The 18160-nt window shown below is 41.6% G+C and overlaps 1 protein-coding gene across 2 annotated transcripts in view, besides 3 other annotated features; it reads right to left on the bottom strand.

Annotated features, from left to right (window-relative positions):
- The window catches only part of ACYP2 (acylphosphatase 2), a 334188-nt gene that overhangs the window by 212691 nt on the left and 103337 nt on the right, over nt 1-18160 (bottom strand). The window lies entirely within an intron of this gene.
- Nucleotides 9244-9538: a silencer, noted in NCBI's record as "tiled region #9427; HepG2 Repressive non-DNase unmatched - State 23:Low". NCBI's record gives its function as "represses a minimal TATA promoter and a strong SV40 promoter by Sharpr-MPRA in HepG2 cells {active_cell/tissue: HepG2}" and the evidence as "EXISTENCE:reporter gene assay evidence [ECO:0000049][PMID:27701403]".
- Nucleotides 10541-10980: an enhancer, noted in NCBI's record as "active region_15757". NCBI's record gives its function as "activates an Ori minimal core promoter by ATAC-STARR-seq in GM12878 lymphoblastoid cells {active_cell/tissue: GM12878}" and the evidence as "EXISTENCE:reporter gene assay evidence [ECO:0000049][PMID:35858748]".
- Nucleotides 10624-10918: an enhancer, noted in NCBI's record as "tiled region #4186; HepG2 Activating non-DNase unmatched - State 23:Low, and K562 Activating DNase matched - State 5:Enh". NCBI's record gives its function as "activates a minimal TATA promoter and a strong SV40 promoter by Sharpr-MPRA in HepG2 and K562 cells {active_cell/tissue: HepG2 | K562}" and the evidence as "EXISTENCE:reporter gene assay evidence [ECO:0000049][PMID:27701403]".

The following is an 18160-nucleotide window of genomic DNA, read 5'->3' as shown; positions in this document are numbered from 1 at the left end:
ACTCCATTTCCCTCTTCCACTACCAATTCTAGATTCCCCTCACCCTCACCTAGCACCTATGCTGCTCTAGATGGCTTAACTGGTGGATGATTCCATTCCTCATCCCTGATAAATCTTAGCCCTTTGTCACCCAACCCTGTTCCAAGGCTGATTATAGGATAACATAGGTTGGCTACATTGTTCACTTACCATCACAACTGGGCAGGAGAGAAAGAAGAGCTGCTCCTACGGATCAGCGGAGTGTCAAATATATTCTTCTCTGTCCCACCATGAAGCAGAAATCCCAACTTCTCCTGATTATCAGGATCCATTTTTCCTGCTGAAATGTGGTTCCTGTCCCTATTCTTCCCTCTTTCATAACCCACTTGTAAATGAAAGTGCCTATAAGACAGCTCTATTCCATTGTTCCCCAGCACTGCAAATTCAACATCTTCAAAACTGAACTGACATTTTTTTCCCTTCCTTAAACTGCTCTTTCTTCTTCAACCATCCAGTACCTCTGCTGGAAACCTGGTTCATCTTTGGGTCCTCCAACTCCCTCACCCTCTATAGCTGCCTTATAGCTCTGTAAAGTCTCCCTCCTAAATGGCTTTTAAATCAGCCTCACTCTCTTTCCCCACAGTTGCTGCCCTTGTCTGGGCACCCCTCCTTTCTCACACGGACTATTACAAACACTTTCTTTCTCCAGTCTTGCTCGTACTCCTCCCACCAGCATCTCTGAGGTATAAAAATGAGAAACAAAGAGACCTGGAACTAGAAATGTCTCTATCTAGAGCGACATTTAAAATCAAGAGAGTTGGCTGGGGTTAGTGGCTGACGCTTGTAATCCCCGCACTTTGGGAGGCCGAGACGGGTGGATCACTTGACATCAGGAGTTCGAGACCAGCCCGACCAACATGGCAAAACCGCATCTCTACCAAAAACACACAAATTAGCCGGGCATGGTGGCACACAACTGTAGTCCTAGCTACTCAGGAGGCTGATGCAGAAAAATTGTTTGAACCCAGGAGATGGAGGTTGCAGTGAGCCGAGATCGTGCCACCACTCCAGCCTGGGTGACAGAGTGAGACTCTGTCTCAATAAATAAATAAATAAATAAATAAATAAATAAATAAATAAAATCAAGAGAGTGAGATGTGCTCTAAGAGGGACTTGAAGAGAAAAGAGATAAGGGCATCTGCAGAGGCCATTAAAGAAAAAAATAGCCCTTTTGTTATTTACCTTCATGGATATAAAATGCTTATGCTGCAACATTTTTTCTCATCTTTTTTCCATGTTAGAAAGTATATATTGATTTCCTACTATTTTGGAAAATGAGGATTTAGCTTTCTTCCTGTGTTCCCCACCCCAATATACACATGCTTTCCCCTGTCCTCCAACTTAGTTATAGTTTAGATGTACTAAATCAATATTCAGAGATTGCTTCTTTTCATTTGATAAATACTCCTTTGAGCTGCTTTGAAATGTTGAGTTAAGACATAAAATAACCCCTTTTGTCCTTTTAATCATTACAGGCAGGCTCTTGTAGGTGTTGAGAAACATTAGTAGAGTTTCTTCTCTGCCTATTTTAAAAATAGAAAAATGTATTTTAAATCAATCAACAATTATGTCAGCGTTCATTGTGTCCAAGGCAACATCATGGAAACAAAGATGTCTAGTGTAGAATTCCTACCCTCAAAGCACCAACATGTAGATGGTAAAATCATCCAAATACATGGAAAACAGGAACAAGTCTATGCAAGTGCTGCCTAACAGATCTCAAGAGTCAGAGGAAGAAGTCCCGTGCATGGAGTGGCCCAGGACAATGATACAGAGGAGGGGAACAGAGTTGAGGGATTTGATAAGCTGCAAAGGAAAATAGGGCAAAAGGCAAAGAGAAAGAGGAAGAGCGGTCCAGGCGTAAGAGAATCCTAGAGTACTCTAGGCAGGATTGGCAAAGGCAGGAAGGGAGGAAACACCGTTTCATTTTGTTTTGTTTTGAGACGGAGTCTCACTCTGTTGCCCAGACTGGAGCGCAGTGGTGCAATCTTGGCTCACTGCAAACTCCACCTCCCGGTTTCAAGCAGTTCTCCTGCCTCAGCCTCCTGAGTAGCTGGGAATCCAGGCGCACGCCACCCCGCCCAGCTAATTTTTGTATTTTTTTAGTAGAAACGGGGGTTCACAACATTGGCCAGGCTGGTCTCAAACTCCTTACCTCGTGATCTGCCCACCTCGGCCTCCCAAAGTGCTGGGATTACAGGCATGAGCCACTGCACCTGGCCGAAAACACTTTTTTGAGGATGCCAAGTAGCCCAGTTTCATGGCAAAAGAGGTTCATGCAGTAGAAAAGCAGGAGATAAAGGGGCAAGGCAGGGTGAGAGCAGAATGTGATAGGCTTGAATGCCAAGAAGAGGATTCCCAACATTTTCTCATCATCAAAGTTATTAGACAGTGAAGAACACATGGGCAAACTTTTTTTTTTTTTTGAGACGGAGTATCATTCTGTCGCTCAGGCTGGAGTGCAGTGGTGTGATCTTGGCTCATTGTAACCTGCATCTCCTGGGTTTAAGAGATTCACCTGACTCAGCCTCCTGAGTACTGGGATTACAGGTGCCCGCCACCATGCCCTGCTAATTTTGGTATTTTTAGTAGAGACGAGGTTTCACCATCTTAGCCAGGCTGGCCTCGAACTCCTGACCTCAAGCGATCTGCCTGCCTCGGCCTCCCAAAGTGCTAGGATTACAGGTATGAGCCACCGTGTCCGGCTGAGCAAACTTTTTAATAGTTAAAAAGTCCTTAATTCAGTGGGAAAAATGCTGAATTATTAAGTGACTTGATGAACATGTTAAAGAAATATTAGGTTGGTGCAAAAGTAATTGCTGTTTGGTTTTGGGACCGCGTCTCACTCTGTTGCCCAGGCTGGAGTGCAGTGGTGCAGTCACGGCTCACTGCAACCTTGACCACTGGGGCTTAGGCGATCCTTTCACCTCAGCCCCCTGAGTAGCTGGGACTACAGGCATGCACCACCATGCCCAACTAATTTTTTAATTTGTTTTGTAGAGACAAGTTCTCACTATGTTGCCCAGGCTGGTCTCGAACTCCTCAATCTTCCTGCCTCAGCCTCCCAAAGTGCTGAGATTACGAGAGTGAGCCACTGCACCAGCCATAAAATACAATTTGTATGTTGAAAAATAGTAATAAACTTAATAGCCAGGAGATATATATATATATATATCTGAACTTCTGGCCTCAAGCAATCTCCTCTCCTGTCTTGGCCTCACAAAGTGCTAGGATCACAGGCATGAGGCACTAAGCCTGGCCAACATTTTTAATATTAAAAATAAATACTTAGTTAGCAAGTTAACACATTGATTCAATTAGTATTTGTTATTCAAGGTTCATTGACTGCTTAGTGTATCAGCTCTGAACTCTAATAATTAAGCTAAATATTGGGAAGTAAAATTATAAATAAGAGCTAGTCCTTTGCTGTAAGGAGCTAATAATCCAATGATAGAACAAACTTTCTCAACTCCATTTCGAGAGCAGCTCTAGTTTTCCCAAGAAATATCTGAAACCTATTAGCATAGAAGTCCTGTTAATGCACTTTATTGATCTTTCCTACTATCTTATCTTTCTTACTTTCTTATCTAATAGTCTTATCTAACAGTCTTTCAGCTGTCTGTTGAACATGCAATTGTGGGCTGTAGGGCTTCAGAATACAGATAGAATAGAATGTTTTATGGTGACCGATAGGAATGTGTGTGGTCAAAACACAACTTTGTCCTTGTCCTCACTGTACTCTTTCTGATATACTAAGTGGGAATAACCTTTCCCCAATCTGAAATGAAAACTCTGGCAGACTCCATAACTTTTCAGCTTAATCTTAATTAATAGGCCAATCTATGGTCACTTTAAGCCACAGTCTCAATTCAATAATTAGAATATCCAGTCCAAGATGTTGAACAGAATTCGGAAGTTGATTTAGAGGCGATTCTTCTTCCTGTGCAGCTTGGCCCTGGGGCAGACTGGAAGCCTGCCGTGAGAAAGGGGGTGTGGTTGTCTTCTCTCCCTCCACCTCCACCCCAGGCTCAGTTTGCCAGTTAGTCTCTGACCCCGCTGAGGAGATGGAGAGGGCAGAGTAAGAGGCTTTGTGCTCGCAGGCCCTGGCAGACACCTGAGGTTGACTCTCTGGTGAATAACGTACGGGCTCCTTTGAGACTCCCTGTGGGGCCCCTTTCATTGCAGCAGGAGGGACAGTGGCCTGTGACCCATTTCACAGTAATCCAGCTTGCCTCCTGCTTCTTGAAGCTGAGGTCCCTCCACTCCTCTAAGTAGTCCTGTTGAACATGATCCAACATGACCTCATGCTGGCTTTCTCTCTCTGGGCCTCTTCTGAGGAATGGGGAAAACACATTACTTTGCCCTAACACTCTCTGGAATACAGGCTGATTCTAACCTAGCAACACGCTTTTGGCTCCACTAGAAGAGTTGCTAATCCCTCCTCTTCTCACCTTTCCAGAGAGGAGTTAGACGCCAGTCCACAAAGACTCCCAGCTGCAGGGGCCATGTATTAAACTGTCCAAAGAATCTACTGGAAGTACCCCTTACTTGGTGAGGTAGGATCTGTGTCACAGCACAACCTTCTCTGAAGAACTCCTCCTCCAAAAAGTTCTCCCATCTTTGCATAATCTAACTGCTCTTCTTCCCCTGCCACTTTTTATATCCTTAATCTGTGTGAGAGTCTTGGAAAAATTTCCTTTGTAAATTTCATGTTCGGGAATCTGTCTCTAGCATCTTACATCTATTTTTTCTCAGTATCTTGGTTGAAACTTCAGTTTTAATGTCCTGCTACCTATCCATCCATCTGTCCGTCCCTTTATCCACTTATTCACCCATCCATATGTCTTGAGCAATACTTTTAAGGAAAAGTTGGGGGCAATAATGAAGAAGGAGATAATAGCAGAAAGAGGTGTATTCAAGAATGAAATTAGGTGGCTCACACCTGTAATCCCAGCACTGTGGGAGGCCAAGGCAGACAGATTGCTTGAGCCCAGAAGTTTGAGACTAGTCTGGGCAATGTGGTGAAACCCCATCTCTACAAAAAATACGAAAAAATTAGCCAGGCATGGTGGCACATGTCTATAATCCTAGCTACTGCGGAGGTTAAGGAGGGAGGGTCACTTGAGCCTGGGGAGATCAAGGCTGCAGAGAGCCATGATGGCGCCACTGTAATTCAGCCTGAGTGACAAAGTGAAATCCTATCTCAAAAAAAAGAAAAGAAAAAAAGTGAATGAAACTAGCAGGTCAATGCCAAGAAGATTAGAAACATTTAGCATCCAAAAATAACAAATGTACACTTTAATTTCTAAAACAGATATTTGTCTGGACATGTGTACAAGTGTGTTTCCCTAATGCAAACTTTCCCATGGATTAATATTATAATTTTCAAATGCTTTGTTTTCATTGATGATTTCTATTCATGTTACATTGGTTCCTTAAACTCTAACTGGCCTATTCTTACCCATACCTTAAACACAATAGTGTGTGCAAAGGCTGCTTCTGAGAAAGTAATTGCTCATAGACTGTCAGAATTTAGTAGAAAACGTTAATCTATAATTATTTTAAAATAGCTCTACTAGTTGCCTGTAGATCTGGGTATCCTATGGCATAATGTTTTATAAGTATCCTGGTAAGTTTGGAAAATCCTGTGCTAAACCATTTACCCAGGTTTCCTTTTTGTGGGACTTCCCAGAATTATAATTTACAAATGTGCTTTGAATCTGAAGAAGATAATTTAATATGCAGTGTCTCCAAACATTTGACCACAAAAATCCTTCAGTTTAAATGGGAACAAGAGTTTAGGAAACACTGGCTTCATCTATGAACCTGTAGCAGTCTGCGCTTGTTTCAAATGCCTAGCAAACACGCACTAGCGCGCGCGTGCACACACACACACAATTTGTCTTTCCCATTGGAAACTCCTAGGATGCTAGTTCCAGCTCCTTGATGTAATAAGTTGCTCTTTGAAATGAGGGAAACAGACCTGGTTCTCAGACCAAAATGATAATAAATGATGCAGCAAAATATAGAAAAGAGAAATATGTTAATCTCCTAAATACCTTATATTCTTTGGAGAATATTTTATGCTTAACTACCCACTTCCCACACCCGCTTGTGAGACTCATGAGCCAAGGGAACAGCCACCTTTGGCTCTCCCTCTCCCATCTGAAGTCCTCCCCACAGCTCACTCTCCCCTGCCTGCCCTCACTGTGTAGGTTTTAGAGGAACAAGGCCTGAACTAATCAATAACTGACCACCACATGTCTAGTGCAGAGGTCTTTATGAGTGTTAGCCTTCCAGTTCTGCAAAAAATGTAAAAGTGGCTGTGCCGGGCCCTCTAGCTCACACCTATAATCCTAGCACTTTGGGAGGCTGAGTCTGGTGGATCACCTGAGGTCAAGAGTTTGAGACCAGCCTGGCCAACATGGTGAAACCCTGTCTGTACTAAAAAAAACAATAATTAGCCAGGCCTGATGGTGCACACCTGTAATCCCAGCTACTCTGGAGGCTGGGTCAGGAGAATTGCTTGAATCTGGAAGGTGGAGGTTGCAGTGAGCCGAGACTGCGCCACTGCATTCTAGCCTGGCAACAGAGTGAGACTCTGTCTCAAAAAAATAAAAATAAAAAGTGACTCAAAGAAACTTTTAGAGTCACCAGAGGTCAGAGGCTATACATAGTCTTTATATATATATATACATATTTTTCCCAACATTTTATTTTGAAAAACTTCAAGCCTTCAAAAAAGTTGAAAGAATGATATAATTAACAGCCATATATTCTTCACTGAGATCAAATAATTTTAACTTTTGCCACATTGCCTGTCTCCTCCCACCTCTCTCTCTCTGTCTCACATCTCTATCTCTTTTTCCATACACAGTAAGTCCTCACTTAAAGTTGTCAATAAGTTCTTGGAAACTTCAACTTTCAGAGAAACAACTTATAACAAAGCCAATTTTACCACAGGCTAATTGATATAAACTAGAGTTAAGTTTCTTCAGCATATTTCTGGTCACAAAAACATCACCAAACTTCTGAAGCCCAAAACACATAGTATTAGACACTGAGATAAATGTGAGCTATATACACATTTAAGAAAGATGAATTTAAAAAAAAAGAAAGATGAATAAAAACTAGTAAGATAATGATTTGCCCCCTTACTCCAGTTTAATGTCACAGGTGGCCAGAGCCCATCCTGGCAGCTCAGGGCACAAGGTGACAACCAGCCCCGGACAGTCCGCAGTCCCGTGGCAGGGTGCACTCTCACACCCCCACAAGCACCCACTCACTCACAGTGCCACCACGTGGACCCGCCAGTGAACTAAATGTGCACAGCCTTGGAACGTGGGAGGAAACTGGATCACCTGGAGAAAAATCCCACAGACGTGAGGAGAACGTGCAACTCTACACAGACAGTGGCCCTGACCAGGAATATATTTCCAGGAATGATTTTTTTTCTCATCATTTTTCTCACACTGAACAAAACGACGTTGAACAAAGAGACTTATTTGAGGACTTGCTGTATTGTTTTTTTGAAAGTAAGTTGAAGACATAGAATATTCCATCCGGAAACATTCCCCACGCCTCACCTAAAAATAAGAACATTCACCTACATTATCACATTACCATCATCACATCTAATAAAAAGATAACCTAATTTCAATATTATCATCTACTATACGGTCCATATTTAAATTTTCCCAATGAGGGATTCCCTGAGCATCAGATCTTTTCTTGCTCAGGCTGGACACAGGTGGCAGGAAGAGGGCAGTGCAAGGCAAGTTGCTGACTAGGACAAAGCCCCGGGAAGCCAGGCCCCATTTTGCTGACTCTTACAGCATTACTTTCCTAATAAATAATACTGTTAATTGTTAAGAGTAATCAAATGTCTGGCTTCAGTGGTTGTGAATGTGATTTTTACTTCCAGCAAACCCATAAGAAGAAATCAAATCTGAGTTATTTATGAGTAAAAAATAAACTGAGGCTGAGCACAGTGGCTCATGCCTGTAATCCCAGCACTTTGGGAGGTGGAGGCAGGTGGATCACTTGAGGTCAGGAGTTCGAGACCAACCTGGCCAATATGGTGAAACCCCGTCTCTACTAAAAATACAAAAATTAGCCGGGCGTGGCGCATTCCTGTAGTCCCAGTTACTCAGGAAGCTGAGGCATGAGAATAGCTTGAACCTGGGAGACAGAGGTTGCAGTGAGCCAAGATGGCTCCACTGCACTCCAGCCTGGACGACAGAGTGAGACTCCGTCTCAGAAAAGAAAGAAAGAAAGAAAAAAAGAAATAAACTGAATACTAAGATTTGCATTTAATCCTTGAACTGACATTCCCTAAATGGATACCTTCTCTAGGCTTTGAAGAATTCTGATATATAAACCATTATTCTATTTTTGGAGTAGTAGAACCTTATTTATCAGGTCACCTTTCACCTCCACCAAAGCCCATGTAAGGAGCTGAACCTTTAGAGATGGAAGAAACGTTATACTCTGGGAAAAAAATAAATTGGAAATTATACTTTTAAAAAATCATTATTGTTTTATATTTGGGGATATTTGGGACATTTCTCATCTTTTCAAAATTTATAATTTGGTGTGATTTCTTGTTCTGTTTAAATATTCACTTTTGTACTTAATTTTACATTTGTAATCTTGCATTCTCTTTCTAAAGAGAGCGCTCAAAACTGTACAAGCATCAGACTACTCCAAACTGAAACCTGGATCTGCCCTGGGTCAGTTTTCAAGGTCAATTTTATGGGATTTGGCCAGTTTTATGTAGAATTTGGTTTGGGTTTTAAAGATGTTTATGCCCCAGGGTCTGGGGGGATGTAAGAGCATATTCTGTCCAGATTGTGCCTTTGGGGGGATGGGGGAACAGTAATTATCAGCAGGACTCTGGAGCTTCTTGACAGCAGGCCAGACTCTCCTAACATGTTTGTGTAGAGAGTCATTCTCCATCACATGTGTTTGGTTCTTTTAATCCTCCTGGTTTCACTATCCTTTCCCATCACCCTGTTTGCTGCTGACCACACCAACAATGGCTGTTCTCTGTAAACTTAGAACCTTGATTTCTCTTGAAAGTAGCAATCCATTGGGTTTTGTCCCAATCGAACATTTTGGGTCAGCTGTGGGAAGTAAAGTCTTTACGGCTCACAGATAAAATGTCATTGAACAAAGAAGACTGGTGTGCTGCCATCAGAGCTTCAACTAGAATGGGAAATAAAGATAATGTGTCAGCTTCACATGGCTTGCCATTGCTGTGGTCTCTGTCTGGGAAGCTAATGGCCGTATTGATTAGCCCTCAAGAGAGACATCATTCGCAAACTGACCCCTGGCGGGTGGCAGCAGACTAACATTTGTGCTCGCTTCAATAACAGATCCTGTTGCTGGGAATCGACATGGGCAGCCGTTGCCATGACAACACATCATGCAAGTCTCTAGTTTCCTCTGTAATTTTCCTGAGAAATAGTGACTATTTTTTTTTTCTTTTTTTTTTTGAGACAGAGTCTCACTCTGTGGCCCAGGCTGGAGTGCAGTGGCATGATCTTGGCTCACTACAATCACTGCCTCCCAGTTAAAGTGATTCTCCTGCCTCAGCCTCCCAAATAGCTGGGATTACAGATGCTCACCACCAAGCCCAGCTAATTTTTGTATTTTTAGTAGAGACAGGGTTTCACCATCTTGGCCAGGCTGGTCTCGAACTCCTGACCTCAGGTGATCCACCACCTCAGCCTCCCAAAGTGTTGGGATTACAGGCATGAGCCTCTGTGCCTGGCCATGACCACTTCTCAGTCCTACCTAGGAACTTGAGTTTTGCCTGCAAGACCATGAATGTCAGCCCATAACTCAAATACCGTAGGTTTGTCAGTACTAGAAAATGTTGCATAGATTTAGGTTGCAAACTATACAAAATAAGCTTAAAGACATGTGAAACCATGACAATGCAGAAATGGTTTAAAAATTGATTATTGGAGGAAAGTTATCTTATTTTAATAAGGAAGTACTTGTACTATAAAGGAACTATAGGTTGGGTGTGGTGGCTCACACCTGTAATCTCAGCACTTTGGGAGGCCGAGGCAGGGACATTGCCTGAGGCCAGGAGTTCCAGACCAGCCTGGCCAACATGGTGAAACCTTGTCTCTACTAAAAATACAAACATTGGCTGGGCATGGGAGTATGCGCCTGTAATCCCAGCTATTCAGGAGGCTGAGCCAGGAGAACCGCTTGAACCTGCGAGGCAGAGGTTGCAGTGAGCCGAGACCACACCACTGCACTCCAGCCTGGGCGATAGAGTGAGACTTCATCTCAAAAAAAAAAGAAAAAAAAAAGAGCTATATATGTGTACAAATTATGTTTACTAACATAAATGAGGAATAATGAAAACTGATTGATATTTCAAAATTCAGCTGCATCATTAGAGATCCTTAATATTGCATCCCTTCTCCTAATTACTGTGATATGCCTGTCAGATCAGGGTTAGGATTCAGGGAGAGCAGCTCCAGGCTGGGGCAGGACAGGGGGTTTGTAAATCTCTTGTGGTACCATATATGGAGCAAACTGAGACTTGAAAAATACTTGTGTCTTAGGCTTTAGAATTATGACTGCCCTCTGAAGAAGCCCATACGAGCTTCCTGGAAGATGACAGACATGTGGCCTAATCATCCCTGTTACCTCAGCTCAGCTGATAAGCCAGCCAACCGCCAGTCATGACGGTGAGGCCATCCCAGATCATCCTGTGGCCAGTCACCCCTCCAGGTGGCCACACATGGGAAACTGAAATCAGCTGAGCTGACTCAGAACAGGAGAACCACCCACCCGACCAGATCATCAGACATGTAAAAGCAAAAGCAGATACCTAATGAAAACAAAAAATCTCTCTCATCAGGTATGTAGAGTCATGCATCAGTTAACATTGTGAATAGCCTTAACGTTGGAAATGTGTCACTAGGCAATTTCATCACTGGGCAAGCATTACGGGGTGTGCTTATACAAACCTAGATGGTATAGCCTACTCCACACCTGGTCTATATGGTATAGCTGATTGTTCCTGGGCTACAAACCTTTACAGTATGTGACGGTACTGAATACTGTAGGCAGTTGCAACCCAGTAGTATTTCTGTATCTAAATATATCTAAACATAGAGAAGGTACAATAAAAATACAATATTATAATCTTATGGGGCTACCGTTTTCTAGGCGGGCCATCCTATTAGAGGTGCATTGTGGATGGAAATGTCATATGTACTGCAGGACTGTACTTGATAATACTGCCGTTATTATTACAAATACACCGTGCTTTTTATCTTTTTCGATGGGGATATTTTGAGATAGAGTTTTTCAGAATTCCAGTACTCATGGAGCACAAACTATAGCAGTATTATAAACAGAACTGAGGAGGTCCACATGTAGGCAGACTCCTCGAACACTGATTTCAATGAGGATATCACAGAATTCATTGTCTGCCACTATAAAAATACGATGAACTCAAAGAGTATTTGAGGTTATTTTTGCTCAAGAAAATTTGAAATGTCCTGAAATCATATAAACCATATATGAAACATGATAGAGGTTTTCTCAAATTTGACAAATCTGTTCAAAATGCTGCAAAACCAAAAGAAAGTTTTTTTAAGCTATAGAAACAAAACAGCCAGGCATGGTGGCTAACCCCTATAATCCTATCACTTTGGGAGGTCGAGGCAAGAAAATCACTTTAGCTGGGGAGCTTGAGACCAGCCTGGGCAACAGAGTGAGACCTTGTCTCTATTAAAAAGGGAAAAAAAAGAGGCAGGGCACGGTGGCTCATGCCTGTAATCCCAGCAATTTGGGAGGCCGAGGTGGGAGGATCACCTGAGGTCAGGAGTTGAGACCAGCCTGGTCAACATGGTGAAACTCCATCTCTACTAAAAATACAAAAATTACCTGGGCATGGTGGCAGGTGCCTGTAATCCCAGCTACTCAGGAGGCTGAGGCAGGAGAATCACTTGAACCTGGGAGGTGGAGATTGCGATGAGCCAAGATCATGCCACTGCACTCCAGCCTGGGCAACAAGAGCGAAACTCCATCTCAAAAAAAGAAAAAGAAAAAAAACCCACAAATTTTGATCAACTGCAACATTGGATTCTTTCTATAATAAGATTACGGTATCTCTGTAATGCTAATACAAAAGCATTGTCTCATGAAGAGGACATCAAAGAAACTGCATCCCAAAAAGCAGGAGAAAAAATACCATAGAGATGTGTCAGGCAGATAATAAAACAATAAAAATATTGTTTTTAGGGTCCTTGCTTCCAAGATGACAAAGAAAAGAAGAAACAATGGTGTTGCCACAAAGGATCACAGCCATGTGCAGCCTACGGATAAGGCTATTAGGTTCATCATTCAAAACACAGCAAAGGCTGCAGTTGTTAGGGACATTTCTAAAGAATATCTTTGATGCCTATGTGCTTCCCAAGCTGTATATGAAGCTGCATTATGGTGTGAGTTGTGCCATTCACAGCAAGGTAGTCAGGAATCAATCTTGTGAAGCCCACGAAGGCTGAACATTCCCATCTCGATTTAGACCTGCAGGTGCTGCCTCATTACCTCCACCAAAGCTCATGTAAGGAGCTGAGTCCTTAGAGACTGAAGAAACATTATTCTCTGGAAAAAGAAGAAAATGGAAAGGATAATTTAAAATATTATTGTTGTTTTAGATTTGGGGATATTTAGGATATTTGACACCTTTTCAAAATTTGTAGTTTGGTATGATTTCTTGTTCTGTTTAAATGTTCACTTCTGTACTTAATTTTGCATTTGTAATCTTATATTATTTTTCTTAAAGAGAACTCTCAAAATTGTGTAAGCATCAAGCTATTCCGAACCTAAATCTGGATCTGTCCCTGGTCAGGTTTCAACGTTGGTTTTATGGGAATCACTTGATATGGACTCAACAATGTCATCAAGGATTTCCTTTATTTCCATCCCTCTGCTCTGAAATCTGTGATGTCAGCATCACCCTAATGCTGCCTTTTTGACAGTGACAATGGAGCTGACTTCCTCCATGGAACTGTAGCAGTTCCAAGCTTTCATCTGTACTGTGTGCCATCCAGAAGGAGAGGGACAGCTGGTTTCTCATTGTTCTCTCAGAAGAATGAGAAAGCTCAAACAGAAGCTCCCATCACTAATGTGATTCCTAAATCAGCCACATTCCCCTTCCTGAATGCTGATTGGCTTAGGTTTGATTACCTGAAGAACTTAATGGTAGCAAGGTGGATGGAATTACTAGAATGGGGTTAACCCTCTCCCCAAGTCTCCTGGCTGGTACACAGTAAAGGTGAAAAGAGTGCTTGGAAGACAACCACGATGTCCAGTGGAGGGAAGACATGAGCACACCTTAGATATTCTATGGACTAAATTCTACATCAAGTGTCAGTCATCTAGGAGACAAAGATAAACAATAACTTGATACCTCCCAGCTCCTCCTCACTGAGACAGTCTCTTCATTTTAAGAGACTGTTTTGGTTTGAGATATTTGATTCTAATACTACTACAAAAGGAATTTAGAAACTGCAATATATCTCACTTTTAAAGTCTCTACTCATTCAGTAAACAAACAATATATGCCTACGGCATACCCTTCAAGGAGTGGGATGCAAAATGAAATTTTTGACATCATAAGTTAAAAAGCTTATTGAGGCCGGGCATGGTGGCTCATGCCTGTAGTCCCAGCACTTTGGGAAGCTGAGGAGGGTGGATCACTTGAGGTCAGGAGTTCCAGACCAGCCTGGCCAACATGGTGAAACTACATCTCTACTAAAAATAGAAAAATTAGCGGGTGTGGTGGCACATGCCTGTAATCCAGCTACTCTGGAGGCGGAGGCAGGAGAATTGCTTGAACCCAGGAGGCGGAGGTTACAGTGAGCCAAAATTGCGCCACTGCACTCCAGCCTGGGTGACAGAGTAAGACTCCATCTCAAAAAAAAAAAAAGCTTATTGAGATGTCTTAAGTGAAAAATTAAAATAATAAAATGTTTAAATAACTGAAATAAATAAATATTTGTTCAAGATGACAATAGAGGAGATGATGCAAGATGGTACAAGGATAGCTTCCAATGAGTTGTACAGATAATAATAATAGCGACAGGAGCTGGTTTCCATATATATATATGCGTACCATATATGGTACGCATATATATATGATTTGCATATATGTATATATGGAAGCTATTACTTTTTTTTTTTAGGAAGATATCACTTCTTATTGGGACAGTAGATGGCTGTCCTAGCATCTTCCTAGCATCAGCACACTTCCCCGTGTCAGAGATGAGACAGAAAATGCAATCATTGGCCAGGCACAGTGGCTCACCCCTGTAATCCCAGCACTTTGGGAGGCCAAGGCGGGTGGATCATTTGAGATCAGGAGTTTGAAACCAGCCTGGCCAACCTGGTGAAACCCCATGTCTACTAAAAATACAAAAATTAGCTGAGTGTGGTGGTGAGCACCTGTAATCCCAGCTATTCAGGAGGCCTGGGAGGCCGAGGTTGCAGTGAGCAGAGACAGTGCCATTGCACTCCAGCCTGGGTGACAGAGCGAGACTCCATCTTGAAAAAAAAAAAAAAGAAAGAAAGAAAAGAAAGTGCAATCATTGCTGCTTCAGTAGACTGAGGGGGTTTGCTTAGAACATAGTCCTAGTCTAGCATTTCATAACTTGTTCTCTTATTTGCTAAAGAAGGTGAAGTGGTTCAATGGAATGAGCACTAGGCCAGGACACAGAAGACTTGGTTCTACTTCCAGCGCTACTACTAATTTACATAACACCTTAGGAAAGTCACAGCCTTTCTGTGCCTTAGTTTGCTGGGAACATAAGCCAAACTCCCACACAGATTATTCCCCTATTCTGTACTTTCTAGCCTCCTTGAAGGGCTGCTTCCCTTGCAGAACAATTTTGCTGGACACTCTAATGGTCAGTCTATCCTCACAAGCCACTTCTCTGCCTGGTTACCACTTCCTCTTCTCAGAAGTCCCCTTTCCTTGTACTGGCTGTCTTGCCCTTGTTGATAATTATCTTCCCACCTCCAGCAGCCGTGCTGCAATACTGCATGCACTGATAATTTTTTAACCTTTATCACTAGCTCTGAGTTAGCATTTAGATTAATTTATTGCACAAACATTTATAAGTCCCTATATATGCTAGGCAGAGAGTTAAAAATAAAATGTTAAACAACAACAACAACAAGTTTGCCCTTATAAAGCAAACAATGGATAGATGCACCAAGGAGCTTATAGTGGTAGAGGGGAGTCACAAACAAAGGTCTTTTGCTCCAACTATGAGAACTTAGGCAAGTCATTTGAATTCTTAGGTTAGCTTAGATGAGTCTAGGACTTCTTCCATTTCCAAAAATCTCTAATTCTGCTTCAACCTTGTTCTATTTTGTGAAAATGTATCTTACATTTCAACAACAACAACAAAAACCAAGATAGAGAATCTAAATGCATTAAATAGTAACTCAAAGTGAGGGTAGGTTTCATTAGCTCTGTATACAAAGAAAAACACATTATTGAAAACCTGATTTATATGTGTATGTGTTTTTAGTAAAATTCAATACGGTTTTGTTTCCAAATAACAGTTATTTAGAAGACCCTGAAAACCCGATTCAGGATTACAGTTAAATAGAAATAATTTATAAAAATAGTTAAGGCTCACAGAGGTGAAATTATAAAGACAACTTTCAGGACTCAGTATAGACAGCTGCTAAGTGTTATCTTTTTCACACACTGTGCAAGCTATATTTGACCACTCCTAAGGGGCCCTGATCTAGCCACCACCTCCACTCCAGGCCAAGCCAAATGGCTGCTGTACCCTCTCTCTCTCTCCCTCCCTGATCCATCTCCAGGTCTATGAGTTCTTCAAAATTCCTTCTCCAAAACACTCTGGCCTTTCTTTCTCTTGGTTCTGAAAAATTAAATTCATCTTCTAAATGATATTCTATATAAAAATCTATTAAACTTCTAGACTAGTTAATATTTTTATATTCAATATTTTGTGATGCCTATTTTGATGTTTTTAGTACATTATTGTCTGGGTAGATTATTTAGTTAGGGACTGGGCCACTGGAAGCCTAGCTGCCAGTCCTTTCTCTGCCATTAACTAGCAGTGCGATCTTCCATGAGCTTCTCAATCTCTTTAAGCCACCATTCTGCAATCTACAAAATAAGGAAATCAGACTAGATATGCTATTTTTAAATTGCTAATTGTGTAAGTAATGCATACAATATATTCTCCGTATAAATTTTAAATACAATGCAGATAAGTTTGAAGTTCTCTTTGGACTTCCCCCGCCATTTTCTCAAGCCCAGTACCTTTTCATTTCTCTGGTGTTATCAGTTTGGCATCTTCTTCCAGAATACTTTCTTTACACTTACATAAGCTCCCCACCAGATTTAATATTTTACATATGAAAAACTAAGCAGTAATTATGCAAAGAAATGAGAGTTCAACTTGTGTACAAATGCATCATTTTCCAGATGGGAACATTTTCATTTTTGGCCCTAATGAATGTTCTAAAAACAATATTAAATCTAAAATCAAAACACTTTTTATAATGCAAAACTCGAAATATCTGCTACAAAGAACTCATAAAATATAAAGATTAATAAAAAAGAGAAATATCAATATGAGTGACATATTTTATAACCTTTAGTTATGTAAAAGGTTTACGAAAAGGGAAACTTCTAGAGGTAAATATTATATCATTTTATTACGAGAATTTTTTTTTTTTGAGATGGAGTCTTGTTCTATCGCCCAGGCTGGAGTGCAGTGGCGTGATCTTGGCTGACTGCAACCTCGGCCTCCCAGGTTCAGGTGATTCTCCTGTCTCAGCCTTCTGAGTAGCTGGGATTACAGGCATGCACCACCACACCTGGCTAATTTTTGCATTATTAGTAGGGACGGGGTTTCACCATATTGGCCACGCTGGTCTTTAACTCCTGACCTCAGGTGATCCTCCTGCCTTGGCCTCCCAAAGTGCTGGGATTACAAGCATGAACCACCGTGTCCACCCTTTTTTTTTTTCTTTCTTTTTTTTTTTAATTTTGAGACAGAATCTCACTCTGTCACCCAGGATAGGATGCAGTGGTGCCATCTCTGCTCACTGCAACTCCACTTCCTGGGTTCAAGCAATTCTCATGCCTTAGCCTCCCAAGTAGCTGGGATTACAGGCATGTGCCACCATTCCCAGCTAATTTTTGTATTTTTAGTAGAAACGGGGTTTCACCATGTTGCCCAGGATGGTCTCGAACTCCTGAGCTGAAGCGATTTACCCTCCTAGGCCTTACAAACTGCTGGGATTTCAGTCATGAGCCACTGTTCCTGGCCTATTAGGAATTATTTTTATAACCTCCATTACTAAATCTGTTAATAGCCTAAGTAGCCTATCAGGCACACACCGTCCGTTGAACTTTTATTGTGAATAGCTACTATATTTAGAACTGCTTTTTAGGTGAATCAACAATGCCACTTCCTAAAGTTATCCAGTCACCAGGACCAATGAGAAAGTAGAAAGAATAGGCCATTATAATGATTAATTTTGTGTGTCAACTTGGCTGGGCCGCAGTGCCCAGATACATGATCAAGCATCATTCTGGATGTTACTGTGGGGGTATTTTGGGTGAGATTACGACTTACATCAGTGGATTTTGAGTAAAGCAGATTGCCTTCCATAATGTGAGTGAACCTCATCCAATCATTTGAAGGCCTGACCTCCCCTGAGTAAGAGTAAATTCTGCAGCCTTTAGACCGCAAGTGCAACATTGACTCATCCCTGCATCTCTAGCCTGCTGGCCCACCCTGCAGATTTTGGACTTGTCAATCTCCATAACTGTGTGAGCGAATTCCTTAAAATACATTTCTTTCTGTATATAAATACATCCTGTTTGTTCTGTTTCTCTGGAGAATCCTGTCTAATACAGTTACACACACACACACACACACACACACACACACACACACACACAAATTCTGTTCTATTTATATATAATTAACATACCATAAAATTCACCCATTTAAAATGTACAATTCAGTGATTTTTATAATATTCACAGAGTTGTGCAACCATCACCACAATCAATTTGGTTTTTTATTTA

Source organism: Homo sapiens, chromosome 2 (genome assembly GCF_000001405.40).
Source record: "Homo sapiens chromosome 2, GRCh38.p14 Primary Assembly".
Classification (NCBI taxonomy): Eukaryota; Metazoa; Chordata; class Mammalia; order Primates; family Hominidae; genus Homo; species Homo sapiens.
Note: the sequence above shows the minus strand (reverse complement) of the source record. Positions and strands in the feature narration are given on the sequence as shown.